Here is a 22517-nt window from a genome sequence, read left to right as displayed (position 1 = left end):
AAGCAGCTGCATGCACTGGGGCATGCTTGTTCGCAGGTGCCGTCCTCCCTAGAAGCAGAAGAGGTGTGAAAGAAGGTGCTGCTGGGAGGGGAGTCTGACAACCCAGCTAGCTGAAGCAGCAGGTGCCAGGCAGTAGGGCTGAGGCCTGGCTGGTTGGGAGAGGGAAGGGGAGATTGCTATGACTGATGCTCATCAGCTTGGCACTTTCCTTTGTCCAGAAGCGCCGGAGACCCACACTGGGGGTTCAGTTGGACGACAAACGCAAGGAGATGCTGAAGAGGCACCCACTGTCTGTCATGCTCGACCTGAAGTGCAAAGGTCTGGTTGCACTCACCTTGTTTAAGGGATCTGTAGCACCTAAGAGTTCACCCAGCTGCAGGTGCAGAGGGTCCGGGAGCCAAACACCCATTTGCCCAACAAAGGATTCCCATTTCATATTGCTTTGTTTTTCCTTATTGTTTTGCATGGACTTTGTTTCTTTTTGTTAAATCATAACCGTAACAACATAGCAACAAAACTCCAGTCACATAAGGCAGAAGCTTGAGAAAACTATACCTCTTTCTGAATCTAGCAAGTCAAATATCTAGAACAAGTTGCAAAAGTATACAGGTTTTTAGTAAGACCAACATGTTTAATAAATGTAAGTAGAACTTTGTATTCTGCAGAGTATATGTTTTGAAGTTGGTTTGTATGAAAAAGTACCATATAATAAAATGTTCTAGCAGTAGAAGAGCTAACAGTAAAATTTAAGTTTCCCTCTCACCACAGGTTCCTATATACCAGTCCTAGGTCTCACCTCCAAGGGCAACCATTATTACAGACTTCTTATGTATTTTTTAGAAAGATTCTTTGCACCTGGAAGCTTTTATACAAATGTATATTTATCTGCTTCCCACTTTATTTTTTACACAAATGGAAATAGGCTCTACGCACTGGTTTTCTTTTTGCTGGTTGTTTGTTTGTTTGTTTGTTTTTAGAGATAGGGTCTCACTCTCGTCATCCAGGCTGGAGTACAGTGGCATGATCACGGCTCACTGCAACTTCAACCTCCTGGGCTCAATCGATCTTCCCACATCAGCCTCCCAAGTAGCGGGGGCTACAGGCATGTGCCATCATGCCAGTTAATTTTTGTATTTTTTGTAGAGATGGGGTTTTGTCATGTTGCCCAGGCTGGTCTTGAACCCCTGGGCTCAAACGATCCTCCTGCCTCAGCCTCCTAAGTAGCTAGGACTGGAAGCGTGCACCACCATGGCTGGCTTTGAGATAATTTTAGGCTCATAGAAGACTTGCCAAAATAACATGAGTTCCTATATACTCTTCATTCAGCTTCCCTAAAGTTACATCTTAATTAAAGATGGTATGATTAACAGCGATCCACACCACTCTTAATTTCATTGGCCCAATACTGTTAACAAAATGACAGAATTTTTTTAGTTTCTTCCTTTTTTAATTAATGTCCTTTTTCTGTCCCAAGATCCAAGCCAGGGTCTCAAAGTGCATTTAGTTGCCATGCTCCTTAGTCTGCTCTAGGCAGTGAGTGTCTCAGTCTTTCCTTGTGTTTCATGACCTTGATTAGACTGAGATTATGGATTTGGGGGAGAGAATAGCATAGATGAGGTCGTCGCTATCATGTCATATCAGGAGTACCTGATGCCACTGTATTATTTCTGCTGATATTGACCTTGATCGCTTGGTTCCCTTTCCATCTTGTATTTGTTAGAAGCAGAGTCACTAAGTCCAGCCCACTCTCAAGGGCAGAGAAATTAAGCCCTACCTCTTGGTGGGAAGCGTAGCAAAGAATTTGTAGATGCTCTCCTTGCTTCTTTTTGTTCATTATATTACTGTTGTGATTTTTTTTTTTCTTGAGACAGAGTCTCGCTCTGTTGCCCAGGCTGGAGTGCAGTGGCGTGATCTCTGCTCACTGCAAGCTCCACCTCCTGGGTTCACACCATTCTCCTGCCTCAGCCTCCCAAGTAGCTGGGACTACAGGTGCCCGCCACCACGCCCGACTGATTTTTTGTATTTTTAGTAGAGACGGGGTTTCACTGTGTTAGCCAGGATGGTCTCGATCTCCTGACTTCATGATCTGCCCACCTTGGCCTCCCAGAGTGCTGGGATTACAGGTGTGAGCCACCGCGCCTGGCCGATTTTGTTTTTATAGTAAATGATTGTAAAAGTCTCTGAATTTTTCTATAATTCTGTTTTTCTTTTTTTGTTATAATTTCAACTTTTATTTTCGATTCTGGGGATACATGTGCCGATTTGTTACACTATTTTGCGTGGTCCTGAGGTTTGGGGTATGAATGATCCCGTCACCTAGGTAGTGGGCATAATACCTAGTAGTTAGTTTTTCAACACTTGACCCCCCCACCTTACTACCCCCTATGACTCTGTTCACTCTGCTCTGAGTGTTTTGACTCATAAATTCTCTCATCTTCCTCCCCTCCAGATGACAGTGTGCTTCACCTGACTTTCTACTACCTCATGAACCTCAACATCATGACAGTAAAAGCCAAAGTGACAACTGCCATGGAGCTGATCACCCCCATCAGTGCAGGGTATTGAGCAGGCGCTCTGGGCAATGACGTGCGGGATGGGGAGGTGATGAGAGCCTCATTGTGGGGCTGCTCTCGGTTCCTCCCTCTGGCTCTGGAGAGGGCTACGGCTGTGTTGACTTGTCTTGTATCCAGATGGACCAGAAGTCCTGGCACATCGCTGGTATTTAGAAAGCACTCTCTGACTTTAATTTGTGAAGTCCTCTTACTACACAGCAGATGATAAAAGTGACAACAGCATATTTGCAAATTGAGTAGGTGGGGCAGAGCACCAGCTTTTTGCTACCAGTGGAAAGTGTGTGAATATAAAATGAGATTTGGCAGACATTATTAGGTTGCCAAATTCAGGCCACTCTTTCCCTTTTCTCTTTCTATCCCAAGGTGCTGGGATTTTTGCTCCCCAGCTCAGCCCAAGCCCATGTCCTTATCTGGGTGGTGGGAGGACTGTGGTGGGTCCCTGTGAAAGTTTTGAGAAGAGTGAGCAGAGGCACAGTAATGACAGCCATCATCGCATCCCCAGGAAGGCCCTGACTACAGTGTTCTTTTTTTAATTTCTATTTTTGTTGATACACAGTCTCACTATGTTGCCCAGACTGGAGGACCATGGCATAATCATAGCTCACTGTGGCCTCAAACTTCTGGGCTGTAGTGATCCTCCTACCTCAGCCTCCTGAGTAACTAGGACTACAGGTGCATGCCACCATGCCTGGCTGACTTTCTATTTTTATTTTATAGAAACGGGGTCTTGCTGTGTTGCCCAGGGTGGTCTTGAACTCCTGGCCTCAAGCACTCCTCCCGTCTCTGCCTCTCACAGTGCTGGAATTCCAGGCATGAGTCACCATACCTGGCCCAATCATGGCATTCTTCTTCTGCAAACATGGGCGGGAAGAAGGGTCATGCGGGGCTGAGGGTGAAATAGCTTCCATTCACAAGAGCACTGCCCTGACCTAGTCCCACTGTCAGCTGCAGAAAGACCACTGAGGCTTAGGGAGGTACAGCTCTGGTGCCTGGTAGAGCAGGGCTCTTTCCACCCCTGCCAGTTCTCCATGATGCTGGTGTCTCTTGGGTTTTAGACTGCCCTTAGAGTCCACATCCCCTTCAGGCCATAGCAGCTTTGGCTGCTGTGCCTGAGAGTGTTGTTGGACACCCCCAGGGGTGCTCTGGATGAAATTGCCCCTGTTCCCATCTGACCCCAGCAGAGGGAGCCCAGGGCTTGCTTCTGAGCACCCAGTTACACTGTCCAGGGCTCTCAGTTCATTGAGGAGTTCCAGGGCCCCCAGATCGTGGTAGAGCTCATCATGAACATTCTGCTTGTTCATTTCTCAGGTGCCCTACATGCTAATAACAGGGCTGCAGCCTGGCTTTATTGCATGCTCAACTCCAGCTCTTCACTAAGCTGTATACCTGGCCTCAGAATCTGTTTCCTCGCTGTGTGGTTGTTAATTGTAATATCCCCTCCCAGGGTGCTTGTGAAGAGTCAGGTCAAGTGCTTAGCATAGAGGAAGCACTTGGTAAAGGACAGCTGATTTATAATCATTGACTCTTGTAACTTTCACAATAGCTCTATGAGGTGAGTTAACTGAGGCTCTGGACAGTTAAGGGGTAGCCTCAAGGTCACAGGTAGAGAGTGGAGAATTATGATTCGAAGTCAGCAAGACCTGTATACCACTGCTGTCATAGCCAGGTGGGCCCTGACCCCCAAACAGGGAGGAGACATAAAAGGAGATGCCACTGTGAAACTGGGATTAGGTCTTTTAGGCCTTCAGGTGTTGTCTAGCTCATCCTCCTTTTACAAATAGAGAAACTGAGGTCCAGGGAGCATACAACCAATTATCGCAGCACTGGACCTAAAGCCCGAGACTCTGGGCTCCCAGCCCAGAAGCCTTTGCTCAAATACAGGCTGCCTTTGGCCACATGAAGACAGCAACCTGGCATACAGTTTTATTGATTTATCTATTAAAACATAAAGGGTATATTCTCACACTAATTCTTGAATCTCATACTATCATTCTAATTTCCCTGATTTTTTTCATATATTTTTTGGGGGAGGGAGTTTTCAGACAAACAATTTTTTTTAATAGTTTTGTGTTTTGAGTCTGGATCACTATAAGGCCCATACATTGCCAATGAGCAAAGCTTCTTTCAAGTATCTTATCAGAGGGTCCTGCCATCTCTTTTGTTTTCTCCTAAGATTCATTGTCTTGGGCTTTCCACCGTCTTTGTATTTGTTGGAGAAAATGGGTCGTTTGCTCTGTAGGTTCTACCTAGTCTGGATTTTGAGGACTGCGTCCCTGTGGTATCGTTAAACGTGTTCGTCTTTCTACCTGTGTGTTCTTGTGAACAGGGAGTTGGCTTAGAGACTTGATCAGATTAGGTTTTCGAAATTTTTTTGTGGTGGTGGGGTGGGTAGAGGGCAGGACTGTATCATGGCTGTTGTTGAATACTTCCATCAAGAGGCACAGGCTCTCTTTATTTTTGTGATGTTACTGTCTTGACAACTGTTGCCTAGATCCATTAATTCATTAGAGAATTTTTAAAAATCCTCCCTGACAGAGTTAATGTTTTTATTTTATTATTTATTTATTTATTTATTTATTTTGAGAAGGAGTCTCTGTGTGTCGCCCAGGCCGGAGTGCAGTGGTGAGATCTTGACTCACTGCAACCTCCACCTCCCTGGTTCAAGTGATTCTCCTGCCTCAGCCTCTCGAGTAGCTGGGATTACAGGCATGCGCCACCACGCCTGGCTGATTTTTGTATTTTTAGTGGAGATGGGGTTTTGCCATGTTGGCCAGGCCAGTCTTAAGAGTTAATGGTTTGGTTTTTTGTTTTCTTTTTTTCTTGAGACAGAGTCTCGCTCTGTCGCCCAGGCTGGAGTGCAGTGGTACGATCTCAGCTCACTGCAACCTCCGCCTCCTGGGTTCATGCAGTTCTCCTGCCTCAGCCTCCCAAGTAGCTGGGACTACAGGCGCGTGCCACCATGCTGGGCTAATTTTTGTATTTTCAGTAGAGACGGGGTTTCACCATTTCGGCCAGGATGGTCTCGATCTCTTGACCTCATGATCTGCCCGCCTCGGCCTCCCAAAGTGCTGGGATTACAGGCGTGAGCCACCACGCCCGGCCACTAAGGTTTTTTTAATCCCTTACTTTTTATCAAAATTTTATAACAAAGATTTGACTGGTTGAGAAGTTTTTTTGTTTTGGTGTTATATTTTTATGACTATAAATAGCCTTTCCTTTTATGTTCATCATTTTTACCAAGTTCAGTTGTCTTAGCCATATGTTGCAGATATAAATTTTGCCAAGAAGGTGATTCCTTCATCAGGTTTTGTCAATTAATAACCTTCATCGTGGGCAGTTTTAGTTCTGTTTTATTTATTTACTAATAGATTGAATCAATCTATTAGTAATAGTCCCTAAACACTTGCTAAAAGACTGAAAAGTTTTATTTTATTTTATTTTATTTTATTTTATTTATTTTTTTGAGACAGAGTCTCGCTCTGTCACCCAGGCTAGAGTGCAGTGGTGCAATCTTGGCTTATTGCCAGCTCCGTCTCCCGGGTTCACACCATTCTCCTGCCTCAGCCTCCCAAGTAGCTGGGACTATAGGCGCCCGCCACCATGCCCAGCTAATTTTTTTTTTTTTTTTGTATTTTTAGCAGAGACGGGGTTTCACCGTGTTAGCCAGGATGGTCTCGATCTCCTGACCTCATGATCCGCCCGTCTCGGCCTCTCAAAGTGCTGGGATTACAGGCGTGAGCCACTGTGCCTGGCCTGAAATGTTTTATTTGTTTGGTAGTCAGTTCTCCATTTGAGGTGGTGAAGGGGGCAAAGACCTTGGGGAACAGGGATACTCAGTGAGACACAGTAGGGAAGAGCTGGAAGCCTCCACTGTCCTAGCATGGAGTTCCTGAAGGCATGCTGGGGCCAAAACGCAGGACCGGCACGTGCTGCCCAAGTTGCTCCTGACGTTATCCATGGAAAGATGAAGGAGAACCCCCTTTGGTTCAGGGAAAGAATGGGCCTTGTCATCCTTTGTGATAAAATTACTACATTACCCTCCCACATTATCTCTTTTTTGCTTGTCACATTTAATGACAAACTGTGCCCGAACCATCCCAGGTGGGTGGCAGTGGCGTCACTATTTCTCTCCGCTTGTAGCTGTGGGTCTCCAGTGTATGTGATTGTATCTTTTTCTGGGAACATACAGGGGGCCTTTTCCTGTGATGAGCATAAGATTTGGTCAAAGTGAGATAGACATAGCACCAAAGCTATACACTTGTTCTCTCTGTAGCAGAAAGGAGTCTGTTCTGCTTTTATGAAAATTGAAATTATTTCTACTGATGGTGTCATGGGACTTTGCTCCCCTGAGGTAAGGCCTTAGGCACCATATAAATCTTGAAGGGATGAGTTTTTTAAAAATTAATGATTAAGAGTACTAGTCTGTTTGATCAGACAATATAAAGCCACCTCTAGCACTTACTAGCAGTGTGATCTTGAATAAGCCATATCTTTTAAAGCCTTGAGTTTTTCCTCTATAAAATGGAAATGATAATCCTCCCTCATAGGGTTGTAAGGATGCAATGACCTCAAGCATATAAACGGTCTGGCCCACAGAAAGCCTTCAATAAATGGTGGCATTGGTCATCAGTGAGACGTGGCATTACCATCCCCAAATGCCCAAGCCTATGTTGAAGAAAGATGTTGGCTGCATTCTCACTGCTTACTGTTTTTCCTTTTCTAGTGACTTGCTGTCTCCTGACTCAGTCCTGAGTTGCTTGTATCCTGGGGATCATGGAAAGAAAACTCCGAATCCAGCCAATCAGTATCAGTTTGATAAAGTTGGGTGAGTCAGCAGTTTCCTCCTCTCCGAGCTCTCTACTTCTGAGTTTCTCTGGTGGCTCAAGCTAAATGCTGGAGACCTGTTAGGGCCAGAGGTGACCCAGAGGATAGGAAAGACCACAGGGTAGAAGGAAATGTTTGTTCTTTCTTGCTTACAAGGCAAAGGGAGATCACAAAAAGGGTGGAAGGATCAAAACTCGGAAACATGCTGGGTGTGGTGGCTCACGCCTGTAATCCCAGCACTTTGGAAGGCCAAAGCAGGTGGATTCCTTGAGCTCAGGAGTTCGATACCAGCCTGGGCAACATGGCAAAACCCTGTCTCTACAAGAAATACAAAAATTAGCCAGGCATGGTGGTGGGCATTTGTAGTCCCAGCTACTGGGGAGGTTGAGGTGGGAGAATTGCATGAGCCCAGGAGGTTGAGGCTGCAGTGAGCCATGGTCATGTCGCTGTACTCCAGCCTGGGGGCAACAGAGCCAGACCCTGTCTCAAAACAAAAACAAAAAGAAAAACAAAAAAAACCCTCTGGAAGCATAATAATACGTGATACAATAAAAATGTTTGACATTTTAATTATCCGAGGATTAATTTTTAAAAGATTTTCTAAATTGGTAGACCAATAAAGACATTAGTACACTGCCTTTGTATTTGATATTTGCTTATAAGTTGAAGGCTGCAAGAAGAAAAGGAAAAAGAGGAAAGTGAATGTGAGAGAGATGAAATTCACAGTAGGGAACTGACAAAGTTGAAGGGCTTTGCCAGCAGCCTGGCTGTGAACATGGCCAAACCTGCAGGACTGGATGGTTTGTGGGGCATGGGAGGGTGGGAGGAGGCTGTATCCTGGGACCACAGCAGAAATGACTTACAGCACAATTTTATTTATCTTCTTTTCTGCAGCATCCTGACTTTGAGCGACTATGTACTTGAGCTAGGTCACCCCTATTTGTGGGTGCAGAAGCTGGGTGGCCTCCACTTCCCCAAAGAGCAGCCCCAGGTCTGTACACTGATCTCATCTAGTTGGCTGAGGAGCTTACCTCTTCTCTTCCTGTATAGACTCTAGAAAGGCCAGGCCAGGTGCGGTGGCTCATGCCTATAATCCTTGTACTTTGGGAGGCTGAGGCAGGTGGATCACCTGAGGTCAGGAGTTTGAGACCAGCCTGGCCAACATGATGAAACCCCATCTCTACTAAAAATACAAAAAATTAGCTGGGTGTGGTGGCACGTTCCTATAATCCCAGCTATTCAGGAGGCTGAGGCAGGAGAATCACTTGAACCAGGGAGGCAGAGGTTGCGGTGAGCTGAGATCATGCCACTGCACTCCAGCCTGGGCAACAAGAGCAAAACTCCGTCTCAAAAAAAAAAAAAAAGGCCTGTCATGGCCTTTGGAGTTTTGAACTGGCAGAATGTGTCCCCTCAGGGCTGTGACCTGTCTTCTATCCACTCAGGACACTAAAATGTCTTAGACTTACAAGAGTTTACGTACCTTTTGCATTTTCTCTGAGCCTAGTAGCCTTTTAGACCCAGGCAACTTGAGTCCTTGCTCTGGGACTCATGTCTGCAGGCTCTGCTGCCCTTGTTCTTGTGTGCAAGTACCAAATATGAGGCATGAGCAGAAATCCAGGGGGCCTGGCCCCTTAGCAGAAGCCTGCCTTTCCTCAGGAGTTGGACACAGCTTCTCAAGAACGCAGCATATTGTGTTGTTTCTGCCAGGACTCAGCGTCTGGCCTGTCATAGCAGATAAACCTTGCCATGTCTAAAGGGTACCCATCTTGGGGCATGGATAATCCAGGGTGCCGCAGACAGGCAGGTCCCAGGAGAGAGATGGTGCCCGGAGGAAGGGATGGGGGAGCACACGTGTATGTGTCTCATTGTCACTCACAGCAAACAGTGATTGCTGACCACTCGCTGAGCGCCAGCCACATGGAGACCACCATGAAACTTCTGAAGACCAGGGTGCAGTCCCGCCTGGCCCTCCACAAACAGTTTGCATCCCTAGGTAAGCTGATGATGGGGCAGTGGTTTAAGAGTCACTCAGACAACACACGGACAACAACAACTTAGCCTTTCACTCAAAACTTGAATCCTGATGACAAATACAAGACCTGGATTCCTGGCTTTACGGAGTGGGCATCTTGGCAGAGCCACTGGGGAGAGCTCCAGGCCTGTCCAGGCAGAGGACCGAGCTCCCCCTTAGAGCCATCAGTGCTGTCCTGCCTCACAGAGGAGGCCCAGAGCCATTGGGTGGCACAAGTTTGTGGACTGGTCGGGGCAGTTCATCCTAGGTCATGCATTGCAGATTTTGATGTGCATTCGACACATATTTAGTGAGATCCTGATTCATGCCAGGCACTGAGCATAGTGCTGGGGGAAGAACTGAGCACAGTGAACCCCTGCCCCTGGCTCTGTGGCTCACAGTCAGCTTTTTGAATATAGCTATCCAGGGAGCAACTCGCATATCCCTTCCCCAAGGCCTACTGACCTCGTGTTCCCCAGGGTGAGGCTGAGCCTATGTTTTCTTCTAAGCTCCCAAGTGATAATGATGAGCCACTGACTTAGGTGGTGGCATTTGGGGGCTTCTTTTAGTTTATTCACTCAGTAAGTGGTTGTCAAATGCTTACCATGTGGCAGGGGGATGGGGTCAAGATTTTTCTGACCTAAAAGAGTCTCTGGGACAGGCGCAGTGGCTCTTGCCTGTAATCACAGCACTTTGGGAGGCCAAGGCAGACAGATCACTTGAGGTCAGGAGTTCAAGACCAGCCTGCCAACATGGTGAAACTCCGTCTCTACTAAAAATACAAAAATTAGCTGGGCATGGTGGTGTGCACTTGTATTCCCAGCTACTCAGGAGGCTGAAGCAGGAGAATTGCTTGAACCTGAGAGGCGGAAGTTGCAGTGAGCTGAGATCGCATCACTGTATTCCAGCCTGGGCAACAAAGCGAGACTCCATCTCAAAATAAAAAGTAAAAAATAAAAAAGAGTCTCTGTCAGGAAAGGCATTGGGTTTCCAGGACACATCTGGAGACCACTCCCCACCAGTTCTTAGACTCCACATGGCTGCCGATCTCTCCAGAGCACTGATGTTTGTCCATCGGGCCGTGCTCCCCATCAGCACTGCTGAGTTTGTTTTGTCCCAAGGTAGGGAACTTGTCATTCTGGACAGTACTTACTGTGTTGGCATATTTGCTTATTTAAATGCCAGCAGGAATTTACCCTGGAGCAGTTATCTGGCTCTTCTCCCTGACACACAACACTTCAGTTGTTTCCTCCATCAAGGTCAGCTATGAAAACACAGGCCTCTATGCTATTTGATCTAATTAACAGTCACTGCTGCAGGGGCACCCTCCCTAGTTCTGACTGTAAGGGTTTTTCTTTGGCAGGCTATCATTTGCATTAAAGAGAAAGCACCATAAGTGCTGGCACTGGATCTGGCCACAAGCACATAGCACTGGGTGAAGGTCAGGTTGACATGCTTGCATTCCTGGCACGTGTTGACCTGGGTACTTCCTGAGTACCAGGTATACCAGGATAGCTGGCCGGGCCATCTGAGCCCTTCAGAGAGCCCCAGGAGGATGCTAGTTACCCATCTGTGGCACCTGATTTCTACCTGTGACGTCATCTGTCTTGTTCTCTTTTAGAACATGGCATTGTGCCAGTTACCAGTGATTGCCAGTACCTCTTCCCTGCCAAGGTTGTCTCTCGCCTGGTGAAATGGGTGACAGTTGCCCATGAGGATTACATGGTAGGTGAAGGAGTGACAAGTTACCCTTACTGTCCTGAGGATTGCAGGACCATGTCACCTTTCAGCTCCTGCCACCTCACTGGAAGAGCAGGGGGTTTAACCAGAGGAGCCAGCAGTTCACCTCTTGTCTGTGGTACCTCTTCTAGGAGCTGCACTTCACCAAAGACATTGTGGATGCGGGACTGGCTGGGGACACCAATCTCTACTACATGGCGCTCATCGAAAGGGGCACAGGTAATTGCTCTGCTGATTACAGGGGTTCTAGACAAAGGGCGCTGCCAAGAATCAAACACTCTCCGGGGCTGCCCAAAGCAGAAGATCCTGGAGTCCTGCAAGGACTTAACAGATAATAATGATCGTGAGAGCCTGTTCAGCAAGGACTCATTCTGCAACACAGTCACACACACGCTGTGTATCACTGAACCCTCACTGCAGTCCTAGGGGTGGTGCTTTCATTTCTATTTTACATGGGAGGAAATTCAGGCTTAGTTGCAAGCCCAGTCTGAGCGCTGAGCCTGAGCTCTTTGCTCCTTCCTTCACCGCTTTCTAGTACCGGACATCTCCTCCTTCTCCCTCTTCATAACAGGGCTGAGGTGTCACCCTCAGGTTGTAAAGGGCAGGGCCACAGGGCCTCGCTCCCTCTTCTGCAGTCCCTGCACTCACTTTAGAGGCATTGAAAGCTCTGATTCTTCATACCTCTTCTGGCATCTGACTCTGCCAGGGCTCCCTGCTGAAGTCCTGGGATGTTGTGTTTGGGCCGTTGTGCTGTTGTCCCACCCAAGCCGCAGCAAGCCTGGCACTGCCCGTGGGATCTGACACCCTCAAGACTTGGTGCTGAGCTGAGGAAGTTGTCTGTAGTTCTAAGACAGTTCCAGAACTGTAAGGAAAGGCTGAACTCTTTGGTATCAGAGTTTCTGTCCTCACTACCCCACTTTCTTCTCTTTCTATTCTTCATGTCTTTTAAAAAAAAAATTCTGAAGAAACTGAATATTTCAGATACAGTTGAGGCCTCCCTATCCCACTTTATTCCCTTTCTCCTAATAAGTGACCACTATTTGGATTTTATGCATTTGCTTTCCATCCTTTCCCCGCTACACCCTTTTTTTTTTTTTTTTCAGTAGAGATAAGGTCTTGCTTTGTCGCCCAGGCTGGAGTGCAGTGGCACGATCATAGCTCACTGCAATCTTGAACTCCTGGACTCAAGCAATCCTTCTTCCACCTTAGCTCCCTGAGTAGCTGCGACTACAGGTATGCTACCATGCTCAGCTAAGATTTTTTGTTTTTGTTTTTGTTTTTTTGTAGAGGCATGTTCTTACTATGTTGCCAAGCCTGGTCTCAAACTCCTGGCCTTTCTTCCAAAGTGCTGGGATTGTAGGCATCAGCCATCATGCCTGGCCTCTCCCCTTTCAAAATTTAATTTAACTTATTTTTTGAGACAGGGTCTTGCTCTGTTGCCTAGACTGGAGTACAGTGGCTCAGTCATGGCTCACTGCAGCCTCAACTGCCTGGGCTCAAGTCATTTCCCTACCTCAGCCTCTTGAGTAGCTGGGGCTACAAATGTGCACCACCATGCTTGGCTAATTTTTTTTTTTTTTTTTTGTAGAGATAAGGTCTTGCTTTGTTGCCCAGGCCAGTCTCGAACTCCTAGGTTTAAGTGATCCTCCCAACTCGGCCTCCCAAAGTGCTGGGATTGCAGGCATGAACCACCACACCCGGTCTTCCTTTTATCTCATCCCTAAACAACATAAAGTACAGGCATACCTCAGAGATATTGCAGGTTCAGTTGCAGACTACCACAATAAAGCAAACTTTGCAATAAAGTAGGTGACACAAATTTTTTGGTTTCCCAGTACGTATAAAAGTTATGTTTGCACTATAGTCTAAGTGTACAATAGCATCATGTTTTTAAAAAACAATATACAGCCGGGCGCAGTGGCTCATGCCTATAATCCCAGCATTCTGGGAGGCTGAGGTGGGCAGATCACCTGAGGTCAGGAGTTCGAGACCAGCCTGGCCAACATAGTGAAACCCTGTCTCTACTAAAAATACAAAAATTGGCTGGGCATGGTGGCATGCACCTGTAGTCCCAGCTACTCAGGAGGCTGAGGCAGGAGAATCGCTTGAACCCAGGAGGTGGAGGTTACAATGAGCCGAGATCATGCCACTGCACTCCAGCCTGGGCGACAGAGCAAGACTCTCTTTCAAAAAAAACAACAACAAAAAACAATATATATACCTTAATTTAAAAGTACTTTATGGGCTGGGCATGGTGGCCCATGCCTGTAATCCCAGCACTTTGGGAGGCTGAGGTGGGAGGATCACTTGAGGTCAGGAGTTCAAGACCAGCCTGGCCAACATAGCAAACCCTGTCTCTACTAAAAATATAAAAGTTAGCCGGGGTTGGTGGTGGGCACCTGTAATCTCAGCTACTTGGGAGTCTGAGGCAGGAGAATTGCTCGAACCCGGAAGGTTCGAGCTTGCAGTGAGCCAAGATCGAGCCACTGCACTCCAGCCTGGGTGACAGAGCAAGACTCCGTCTCAAAAAATATATATATATATATTTTTTCATTTGAGTGCATTGTGAAATTGAAAAGCAAAATTTAGACGAATAAGTGGGCAACAATTGCAAATATAATTCTTCAGTCATGGCCGGGTGCGGTGGCTCAGGTGTGTAATCCCAGCACTTTGGGAAGCCGAGGCGGGCGGATCACGAGGTCAGGAGATGGAGACCATCCTGGCTAACATGGTGAAACCCCATCTCTACTAAAAATACAAAAAATTAGCCGGGCCTGGTGGCGGGCGCCTGTAGTCCCAGCTACTCGGGAGGGTGAGGCAGGAGAATGGCGTGAACCCGGGAGGCGGAGCTTGCAGTGAGCTGAGATGGCGCCACTGCACTCCAGCCTGGGTGACAGTGCGAGACTCCATCTCAAAAAAAAAAAAAAAAAAATTCTTCAGTCATTCTACAACAGATCCATTTGGAAACTTTCTGTAGTGTGAATTTAAAAATTGGTGAACAGCCTGGGCGTGGTGGCTCACGCCTGTAATCCCAGCACTTTTAGGTGGAGGCGGGTGGATCACGAGGTCAGGAGTTCAAGACCAGCCTGGCCAAGATGGTGAAAACCCGTCTCTACTAAAAATACAAAAATTAGCTGGGCGCGGTGGCGCATGCCTGTAATTCCAGCTACTTGGGAGGCTGAGGCAGGAGAATCGCTTGAACTTGGGAGGCGGAGGTTGCAGTGAGCTGAGATTGGGCCATTGCACTCTAGCCTTGGTAACAAGAGCGAGACTCTGTCTCAAAAAAAAAAAAAAAATTGATGAACAGAGATAAATCCAGAAATGTATGCTGATTATTAGGACAGAAGCAATACAGCAGCAGAGAAAGAAAATACTTTTTATTTTATTTTTATTTTTTATTTATTTAATTCTTTATAGGGATGAGGACTTGCTATGTTGACCAGGCTGGTCTTAAACTTCTGGCTTCAAACCATCCTTCTGCCTCAGCCTGCCATTGTGCTGGGATTACAGGCGTGAGCCACGACGCCTGGCCAGAAAGCACTTTTTATTTATTTATTTTGAGACGGAGTCTTGCTTTGTTGCGTAGGCTGGAGTACAGTGGCATGATCTCAGCTCACTGCAACCTCCACCTTACCAGGTTCAAGTGACCCTCCCGTCTTGGCCTCCTAAGCAGCTGGGATTACAAGCATGTCCCACTAGGCCTGGCTAATTTTTGTATTTTTACTAGAGATGAGATTTCACTATGTTGGCTGGGCTGGTCCTGACCTCAAGTGATCCACCCACTTCTGCCTCCCAAAGTGCTGGGATTATAGGCGTGACCCCCCATGCCCAGTCCAGAACACTCTTTTTTGGGGACAGGGGGAGGTAAAGCAACTTTTTTTTTTTTTTTTTGAGACGGAGTCTTGCTCTGTCACCCAGGCTGGAGTGCAGTGGCACGATCTCTGCTCACTGCAAGCTCCACCTCCTGGATTCAAGCGATTCTCCTGCCTCAACCTCCTGAGTAGCTGGTAGCTGGGACTACAGTCGCCCACCACCACGCCCAGCTAATTTTTTGTATTTTTAGTAGAGACGGGGTTTCACCATGTTAGCCAGGATGGTCTCGATCTCCTGATCTCGTGATCCGCCCACCTCGGCCTCCCAAAGTGCTGGGATTACAGGCGTGAGCCACCGCGCCAGCCACAACTTTTTAATTAATGTTCTGACTGTTAGGGAAGAATTGTGTTAACCTCTCCTCTCCTCTGTTATTTGAATAACTAGTGGTCAGAGAGTGAAAGTCTCCCCCCTAAAAATAACTAAAAAGGAATGGCATACCTATCCCACTTGAGAAGATAAATGTCTTCCTGTTGAAAAAGGCAAAGGCTTTCACCAGAGAATAAATGAGTATGTTCAAAAACACAAATATTTTGTTTAATGATTATGAACACAGCTTTGATATCAGCCAGTTCTGGTTAAACTCAGCACTGCTACCTTCCAACTATTTGATGGTAGGGAAGTTTCTGTCAGAGCCTGTTTCTTTATGTGTAAAATGAGGATGAGGATAATAGTACCTAACTCATAGAATTATTGTTAGGATGAAATAAAATGTGTCTAGAGGGTTTAGCACAGTGCCTGGGATACAGTAAGGACTCTCTACATGTTGGCTAGTATACAGAATTTTATGTAACAAAGTATGTAAAAATCAAATGAAGAAAATAGAGAAAATATATTTGATGTGATAGTTGATACACAGTATTGTTGAAAAATTAGTAAGCTTTCACATGGAGAAAACCTTAGCTTGCTGGCAAATAAAGAAATGACAATTACACTTCTATCAAAGTAGCAAATAGAACTCATGGAGAGAGCCAAGGTGGACCAGACTCTGGGGAGTCCGCAGCTTTGTGGCACAGTAAATATGTCAAAGTCCTTGGAGAGACCAATTATAGGACCTCACATTCTGCAAGCTGGCAATTCCACTTAGGACATTCTGGAACAGTTGGTACCAGAATATACTCTGCAGCATTCAGATTAATAGGAGACATCTGAGCTAGCCTCAGGGGTGCAGTGGGGAGGCTGCCATGGCTGGCAAGCTGAGTCTTAGAACTGCGCATTTCCCCTCTCTCCTCTCTTCCCAGCCAAACTGCAGGCCGCTGTGGTGTTGAACCCTGGCTACTCCTCCATCCCACCTGTTTTCCAGCTCTGTTTGAACTGGAAAGGGGAGAAAACCAACAGCAACGATGACAACATTCGGGTAAGACCCAGCTGGGGATGACAGGAGGAGCAGGCAGAGCTCCCGGGGGAGGTGGCCGTGGCAGAACCCACTGCAGCTGAGGACTTGGGCACTGCCTTAATTCCCAAAACAGAAGGTTGTGCCAGGATTTGCAGAATTTGCTGGAGCTTGTGTGGTGTACTAGAGGAAAGAGCCCAGACCTACTTGCCTACCTTGGGGTCCACAGGTTTCCCCACTTAGAGAGTAAGGAGAAATACCTACCTTGAAAGGTTATTGGCTTGGGCTCCTATAAAAAATGTGAATAAGCTCTGAAGCATTATAGAAGCACTGGAATGACATGAGGAATGACATCACTGCAGTTGTTAATCAGCATTGCAGCTGTTAATCAGCATTGCAGTTGTTAATCAGCATTGCTGCTACTAAGTCAAACATGCCATGGAACACGTTTTTAACCAACATCTTCTGACTTAGGTCTTATTTTGAGACTGCTTCCCTGCACACCTCTGTTTTCCTGGCTGTGGGCATATGAGGCAGGGAAAGCTATGGGTCAGAATCAGGAAGACCTCATTGTCTTGATGAGGGGGCCTGAGGACAAGCCAGTCTAGCTTGATCTGATGGCCTAGCCCCTGGCCCAGCCCCTGCAGAGGCATCAGCGCTCGGGCCCATCCAGGGACGGAAGCCTGGCCAGTGTGGTCCCCCACATGCAGGAAGGTAGTGCTGAGATGCTGGCTTTCCTATCACACAGGCCATGGAGGGCGAAGTCAATGTGTGCTACAAGGAGCTGTGTGGCCCTTGGCCCAGCCACCAGCTGTTGACCAACCAGCTGCAGCGGCTGTGTGTGCTGCTGGATGTTTACCTGGAGACCGAGAGCCATGACGACAGTGTGGAGGGGCCCAAGGAATTTCCCCAGGAGAAGATGTGTCTGCGGCTCTTCAGGTGAGGAGAGGGTTGGGGCTCTGGTGACTTCTCATGGTGATGTGGGACAGAGATCAGAGCCAGATTTTCTGGGGAGAGCTTGCTTCTTCCTTCCTGAAACTTCCCCTGCAGCCGATGCCTATCACTCTGGTCCACCTGTTTTTCACTAACACCTCCTGAAGGTGTTAGTGCCAGGTCTGAGCCAAGAGGATTTGGCTGAACTTTATTTTCTATACTTTCTGTGGAAAACAATAGAGTTTGTTTGCTTTTTAGTGTCCAAATAAGCTTTTTAAACTGTGTGCATCCTCGCCTGTCCCCAGGGAGTCTGCTGTGGTCTTTCTAGGGTACTGTCCTGTCAGTGAGAATCACAGCTTAGGCAGTCAGGTGGCACAGAAGGAACCAGCTTCAAAGTAAAACAGATAGGAGTGCAGATCTCTGTTTTGCTGCTGACCTTAGAAGAGTCAGTTCTGCTTAGCTCTGAGCCCTCCTCCAGCTTTTTGTTTGTTTGTTTCCTTTTCTTTGAGACACGGTCTTACTCTCTTGCCCAGACTGGAGTGCAGCAGCATGATCATAGCCCACTGTAGCCTTGCAGTCTTGACCTCTGGAGCTCAAACGATCCTTCCGCCTCAGCCTCCCTAGTAGCTGGGACCACAGACATGCACCGCCACACGCAACTAATTTTTAAATTTTTTTGTAGAGATGGGGTTTCACCATATTAGCCAGGCTGGTCTCAAACTCCTAGGCTCAAGTGATCAGCTTGTCTCAGCCTCCCAAAGTGCTGGGATTACAGGCATGAGCCATTGTGCCTGACCCCTATTTTCTAAAGACAGAAATGGTGAAAGTAATACCTTCTAGCTCATGATGAAGCAGAAGTAATTCATATAAAGTCCTGGCACAGGACTGGGACTCGGAAAATGCCAGCAGTTCCTGACAGCTTGGTACTCAAGAGTGTCTGGGCTCATGGCACTTCCAGCTACTTTTCCTTTCTCTTTCATTTTGGGTCCTTTATTTCCCTTTCAGCCTCTAACTCATGTTCTTTTAAGAGTCAGTTTCAAAACTGCAGATTTCACTGCTCAGGCATCCCTTCCCTTCTGCATGAGGTTGGCGGGGAGCAGTGTTTGGGAAGGAAGAAGAGTGATAATCTGTTTCTAATCAGAACATCCCCCCTTGTTCCCTGTCAGTCTACACAGTGCCTTATCTCTCCCTCACCTTGTTCTCTGTTCCCTGTCAGTCTAAGCAGTGCCTTACCTCTCCCTCACCTTGTTCTCTGTTCCCTGTCAGTCTAAGCAGTGCCTTACCTCTCCCTCACCTTGTTCTCTGTTCCCTGTCAGTCTAAGCAGTGCCTTACCTCTCCCTCACCTTGTTCTCTGTTCCCTGTCAGTCTAAGCAGTGCCTTACCTCTCCCTTACCTTGTTCTCTGTTCCCTGTCAGTCTAAGCAGTGCCTTACCTCTCCCTCACCTTGTTCTCTGTTCCCTGTCAGTCTAAACAGTGCCTTACCTCTCCCTCACCTTGTTCTCAGACAGCCAGTTCTAGCCCCTAGAAGCAGTCCCAGCATCCTTTCACCTCATCTGACACCTCCACTGGCCTGGTTCATTATGTTATCTCATAATAACCAGTTCCAGCTCTGAGTGGCTGCTGGGAGGTGGAGCTGGTGGCCAGATGCTGGCACCTTCTAGGACTTGCTCTCTCCCTAGAGGGCTTGTGTGAGACCTCTGCTCTTCTCACCTGCCCAGCCCATTCTAGCACATTGCCAGGGTGGGAATTCTCACATGGCCAGCATTGATTTCCTCTTCTCCAGTGGTTCCCAAAGGACCCATTTCTTTTTCTTTTTTCTTTTTTTTTTTTTTTTTGAGACAGAGTCTCACTCTGTCGCCCAGGCTGGAGTGTAGTAGCATGATCTCGGCTCACTGCAACCTCCACCTCCCGGCCAAAGGACCCCATTCTTGAAGGGCTTTGTTGTGTCTCCAGGCTGAGCTCCTCTGTCAGCATTCTGGGAAGGTGCTCCTTCAGTGACTCAGATCCAGTTAACTCTATGGCCGGTAGATGTGAGAGGCAAGGCTCTCCGGCCAGGATGCAGAGTGCTGGCATGGGCAGCAAGAGACCTGAGGCCAGGAGTTCCACCAGCCTGGCCAACATGGCAAAACCTAAACTAAACCTCAACCTAAACCCGGGCGTGGTGGTGCATGCCTGTAATCCCAGCTACTTGGGAGGCTGAGGTACAAAAATCCTTTGAACCCGGGAAGCAGGGGTTGCAGTGAGCCGAGATCACGCCACTGCACTCCAGCCTGGGCGACACAGAGACTCCGTCTCAAAAAATAAAAAAAGGAACAATCCTAAAAAGTGAGGGTGCCTAAAGCTATGTCCCCGAAGTGCCACTGTCAGTGAGGGCCTTTCCAAGTTTGTGTTCACTCATTTGCAAGCACAAAAAGACATTTTTACAAAAATAGTATCGCACCTTATATGTTGTTCTGCCGTATGCTTTTCTCAACAACATTCTGTGTCATGTAACTCTGCCTCTTCTTTTTCCCTTGTGTGAATGAACCATAATTTATTTTATCAGCCTAGAAGGTGTGTTATTAACAACTCCGTTCTCCTATTTCTCTAGGGGTCCTAGCAGGATGAAGCCATTTAAATACAACCATCCTCAGGGATTCTTCAGCCATCGCTGATCTCCCGCGCAGACCGTTGTTTCCCCCAAGGCCTCACCCTGAGCACTGGGCTTCTGCTTTCTGCTCTGGCCCACATGTGACTCTTGATATTCTCCAAAGACACCAGCCAATTAAAAAGCGTCACCTGACCAGTGGCCTTTGTCTGTGGTTCCTGGCAAGGTGGCTTTGCAGTCTGGAAGGGCAGGTGGGAGCTGTGACACAGTGTGAAAAAGCATTTGTAGAGAGACTTTTTCTCAGCAGCCAATAAAAGCAGAGTGGAAAAAGATTCCAATTCTGCAGAGAGATGCTCACCTCTTGTCTACGCACACCCTATTTGTGCTTTGCGGGGTGAGGTCCTCATGATCTTGTATTTATTATCCCAAGTTCCTGCTGTTAAGAGGTGGTAGGAGAAGCCAAAGGCAGCAGAGCACAAAAAGCAAAACTCTTCCCTCCCCACCCGCTCTTCCCATTAGTCCTGTCAGGGTTGCCGATGGACAAATTGTCTCTGATCGTTGGATGTTATAAATGTCTGACAGTGCAGTGCAAACAGAAGACAAACTCAGTTGATCCTTGAACAACTCAGGGGTTAGGGGCACCAACACCCCCTGCCCTGCACAGTTGAAAAATCCGTGTATAACTTTTGACTCCCTAAAAACTTAACTAATAGCCTGCTGTTGACCAGTAGTATGCTATTAGTAGTTACTTACTGCTAACATAGTCAGTACATATTTTCAGTATATATTTTGTATCTTATACACTGTATTCTTACAATACAGTAAACTAGAGAAAAGAAAATGTTATAAGGAAAGTCACAAGGGGGCCTGAGTGCAGTGGCTCACGTCTGTAATCCCAGCACTTTGGGAGGCCAAGGCGGGTGGATCACTTGAGGTCAGGAGTTTGAGACCAGCCTGGCCGACATGGTGAAACCCTGTCTCTACTAAAAACATGGAAATTAGCCAAGCGTGGTGGCGCATGCCTGTAGTCCCAGTTACTCAGGAGGCTGAGGCAGAATTACTTGAACCCATGAGGCAGAGGTTGCAGTAAGCCAAGATCACGCTCCTGCGCTCCGGCTTGGGCGAGAGTGAGACTCCGTCTCAAAAATAAATAAATAAGAAAGCCATAAGGAAGAAAATATATATCTACTATTAAGTAGAAGTGGATCACCATAAAGGTCTTCACATACTGTCTCAGGGTTGAATAGTCTAAGGAAGAGGAGGGGTTGGTCTTGGTGTCTCAGGGATGGCAGAGGCAGAAAAAGTGGGGGAGGTGGAGGGGGAGGCAGGCACCACTGTTATTTTTATTGAACAAAATCTGTGCAGGGACTCATGACTGTAATCCTAGTACTTTGGAAAGCTAAGGCGGGAGGATCCCTTGAGGCCAGGAGTTCAGGTCCAGCCTGGGCAACGTAGTGAGAGACCCTGTATCTACAAAAAATTTAAAAATCAGCCAGGTGTGGTGGTATGCACCAATAGTCCCAGTTACTCAGAAGGCTGAGGTGGGCGGATGACTGGAGTCCAGGAGTTCAAGGTAGCAGTGAGCTATTCATCGTGCCTGTACTGTACTCCAGCCTGGGAAACAATGCGAGTCCCTATCTCTAAAAAATTTTAAAAAAAGAAATCTGCATATAATAGACCCACAGAGTCCAAACTATTGTTCAGAGATCAACTGTACTTCACAGAGAGTAATTCTAAGTCTTACAGGATTTCATGGAGATGGCGAGAGTGGTGTTGGAGAATCAATCACATACAGAGATACAGGACAGTGAGACCAGGTAACATTTGAGGAGAATATTTTTTTTTTATTGAGACAGGGTCTTGCTCTGTTGTCCAGGCTGGAGTGCAGTGGCACGAACACAGCTCACTGCCGCCTCAACCTCTCCTGGGTTCAAGTGATCCTCCTGCCTCAGCCTCCCAAGTAGCTGGGACCACAGGTGTGTGCCACCATTTCTGGCTAATTTTTAAATTTTTTGTAGAGGCGGGATCCCACTATTTTTCCCAGGCTGGTCTCAAACTCCTGGGCTCAAATGATCCTCCCACCTCGGCCTCCCAAAGTGCTAGGATTATAGGCATGAGCCACCACACCCGGCCTGAGTAGAGTCTTTAAGGTAATGACAAAAGTGCCTCAAAATATAATTATTTGATTAAGAGAAGTCTTGGGAAGATAGGTAACAACCTTTAAAATGTTCATAAAATTACATCCTTTGTAATACTCCTGCAAGTCAAAGTAAAGGATGGCATAGACTATTCTTGGACAGTTTTGTCAAAAAGTGTATCTTGACCCCACCATCAGTACTCCATTCTTCATTTTAAAAAATAAGATGGGCTGGGCACAGTGGCTTACGCCTTTAATATCAGTACTTTGGGAGGCTGGTGGGCGGATCACCTGAGATCAGGAGTTCAAGACCAGCCTGGCCAACATGGTGAAACCCCGTCTCTACTAAAAATACAAAAATTAGCTGGGCATGGTGGTGCGCGCCTGTAATCCCAGCCACTCGGGAGGCTGAGGCAGGAGAATTGCTTGAATCCCCGAGGCGGAGGTTGCACTGAGCCGAGATGGTGCCACTGCACCATCTGGACAACAGAGCAAGACTCCGTCTTGG

At 47.2% G+C, this 22517-nt stretch overlaps 1 protein-coding gene across 11 annotated transcripts in view; it reads left to right on the top strand.

Annotated features, from left to right (window-relative positions):
- Window positions 1-22517, top strand: part of THOC5 (THO complex subunit 5) — a 47879-nt gene extending 25362 nt beyond the window's left edge. For 8 of the 11 annotated variants that reach the window (NM_003678.5, XM_005261797.2, NM_001002877.2 and 5 more), the window contains 10 exons: window positions 219-318; window positions 2450-2558; window positions 7297-7398; window positions 8292-8388; window positions 9276-9390; window positions 11030-11133; window positions 11280-11367; window positions 16260-16375; window positions 17100-17290; window positions 19876-22517. In NM_003678.5, the coding sequence (NP_003669.4) occupies window positions 219-318; window positions 2450-2558; window positions 7297-7398; window positions 8292-8388; window positions 9276-9390; window positions 11030-11133; window positions 11280-11367; window positions 16260-16375; window positions 17100-17290; window positions 19876-19939 (1086 nt within the window). In that variant the 3' untranslated portion in view covers window positions 19940-22517. Of the gene's footprint in view, window positions 1-10; window positions 123-218; window positions 319-2449; window positions 2559-7296; window positions 7399-8291; window positions 8389-9275; window positions 9391-11029; window positions 11134-11279; window positions 11368-16259; window positions 16376-17099; window positions 17291-19875 lie in introns of those variants that run through there. The other 3 variants (NM_001002879.1, NM_001002878.1, XM_005261801.5) reach the window with 2 other exon arrangements.

Source organism: Homo sapiens, chromosome 22 (genome assembly GCF_000001405.40).
Source record: "Homo sapiens chromosome 22, GRCh38.p14 Primary Assembly".
In the NCBI taxonomy this organism is placed as follows: domain Eukaryota; kingdom Metazoa; phylum Chordata; class Mammalia; order Primates; family Hominidae; genus Homo; species Homo sapiens.
The sequence above is the reverse complement of the archived record's forward strand: the minus strand, read 5'-3'. Positions and strand labels throughout refer to the sequence as shown.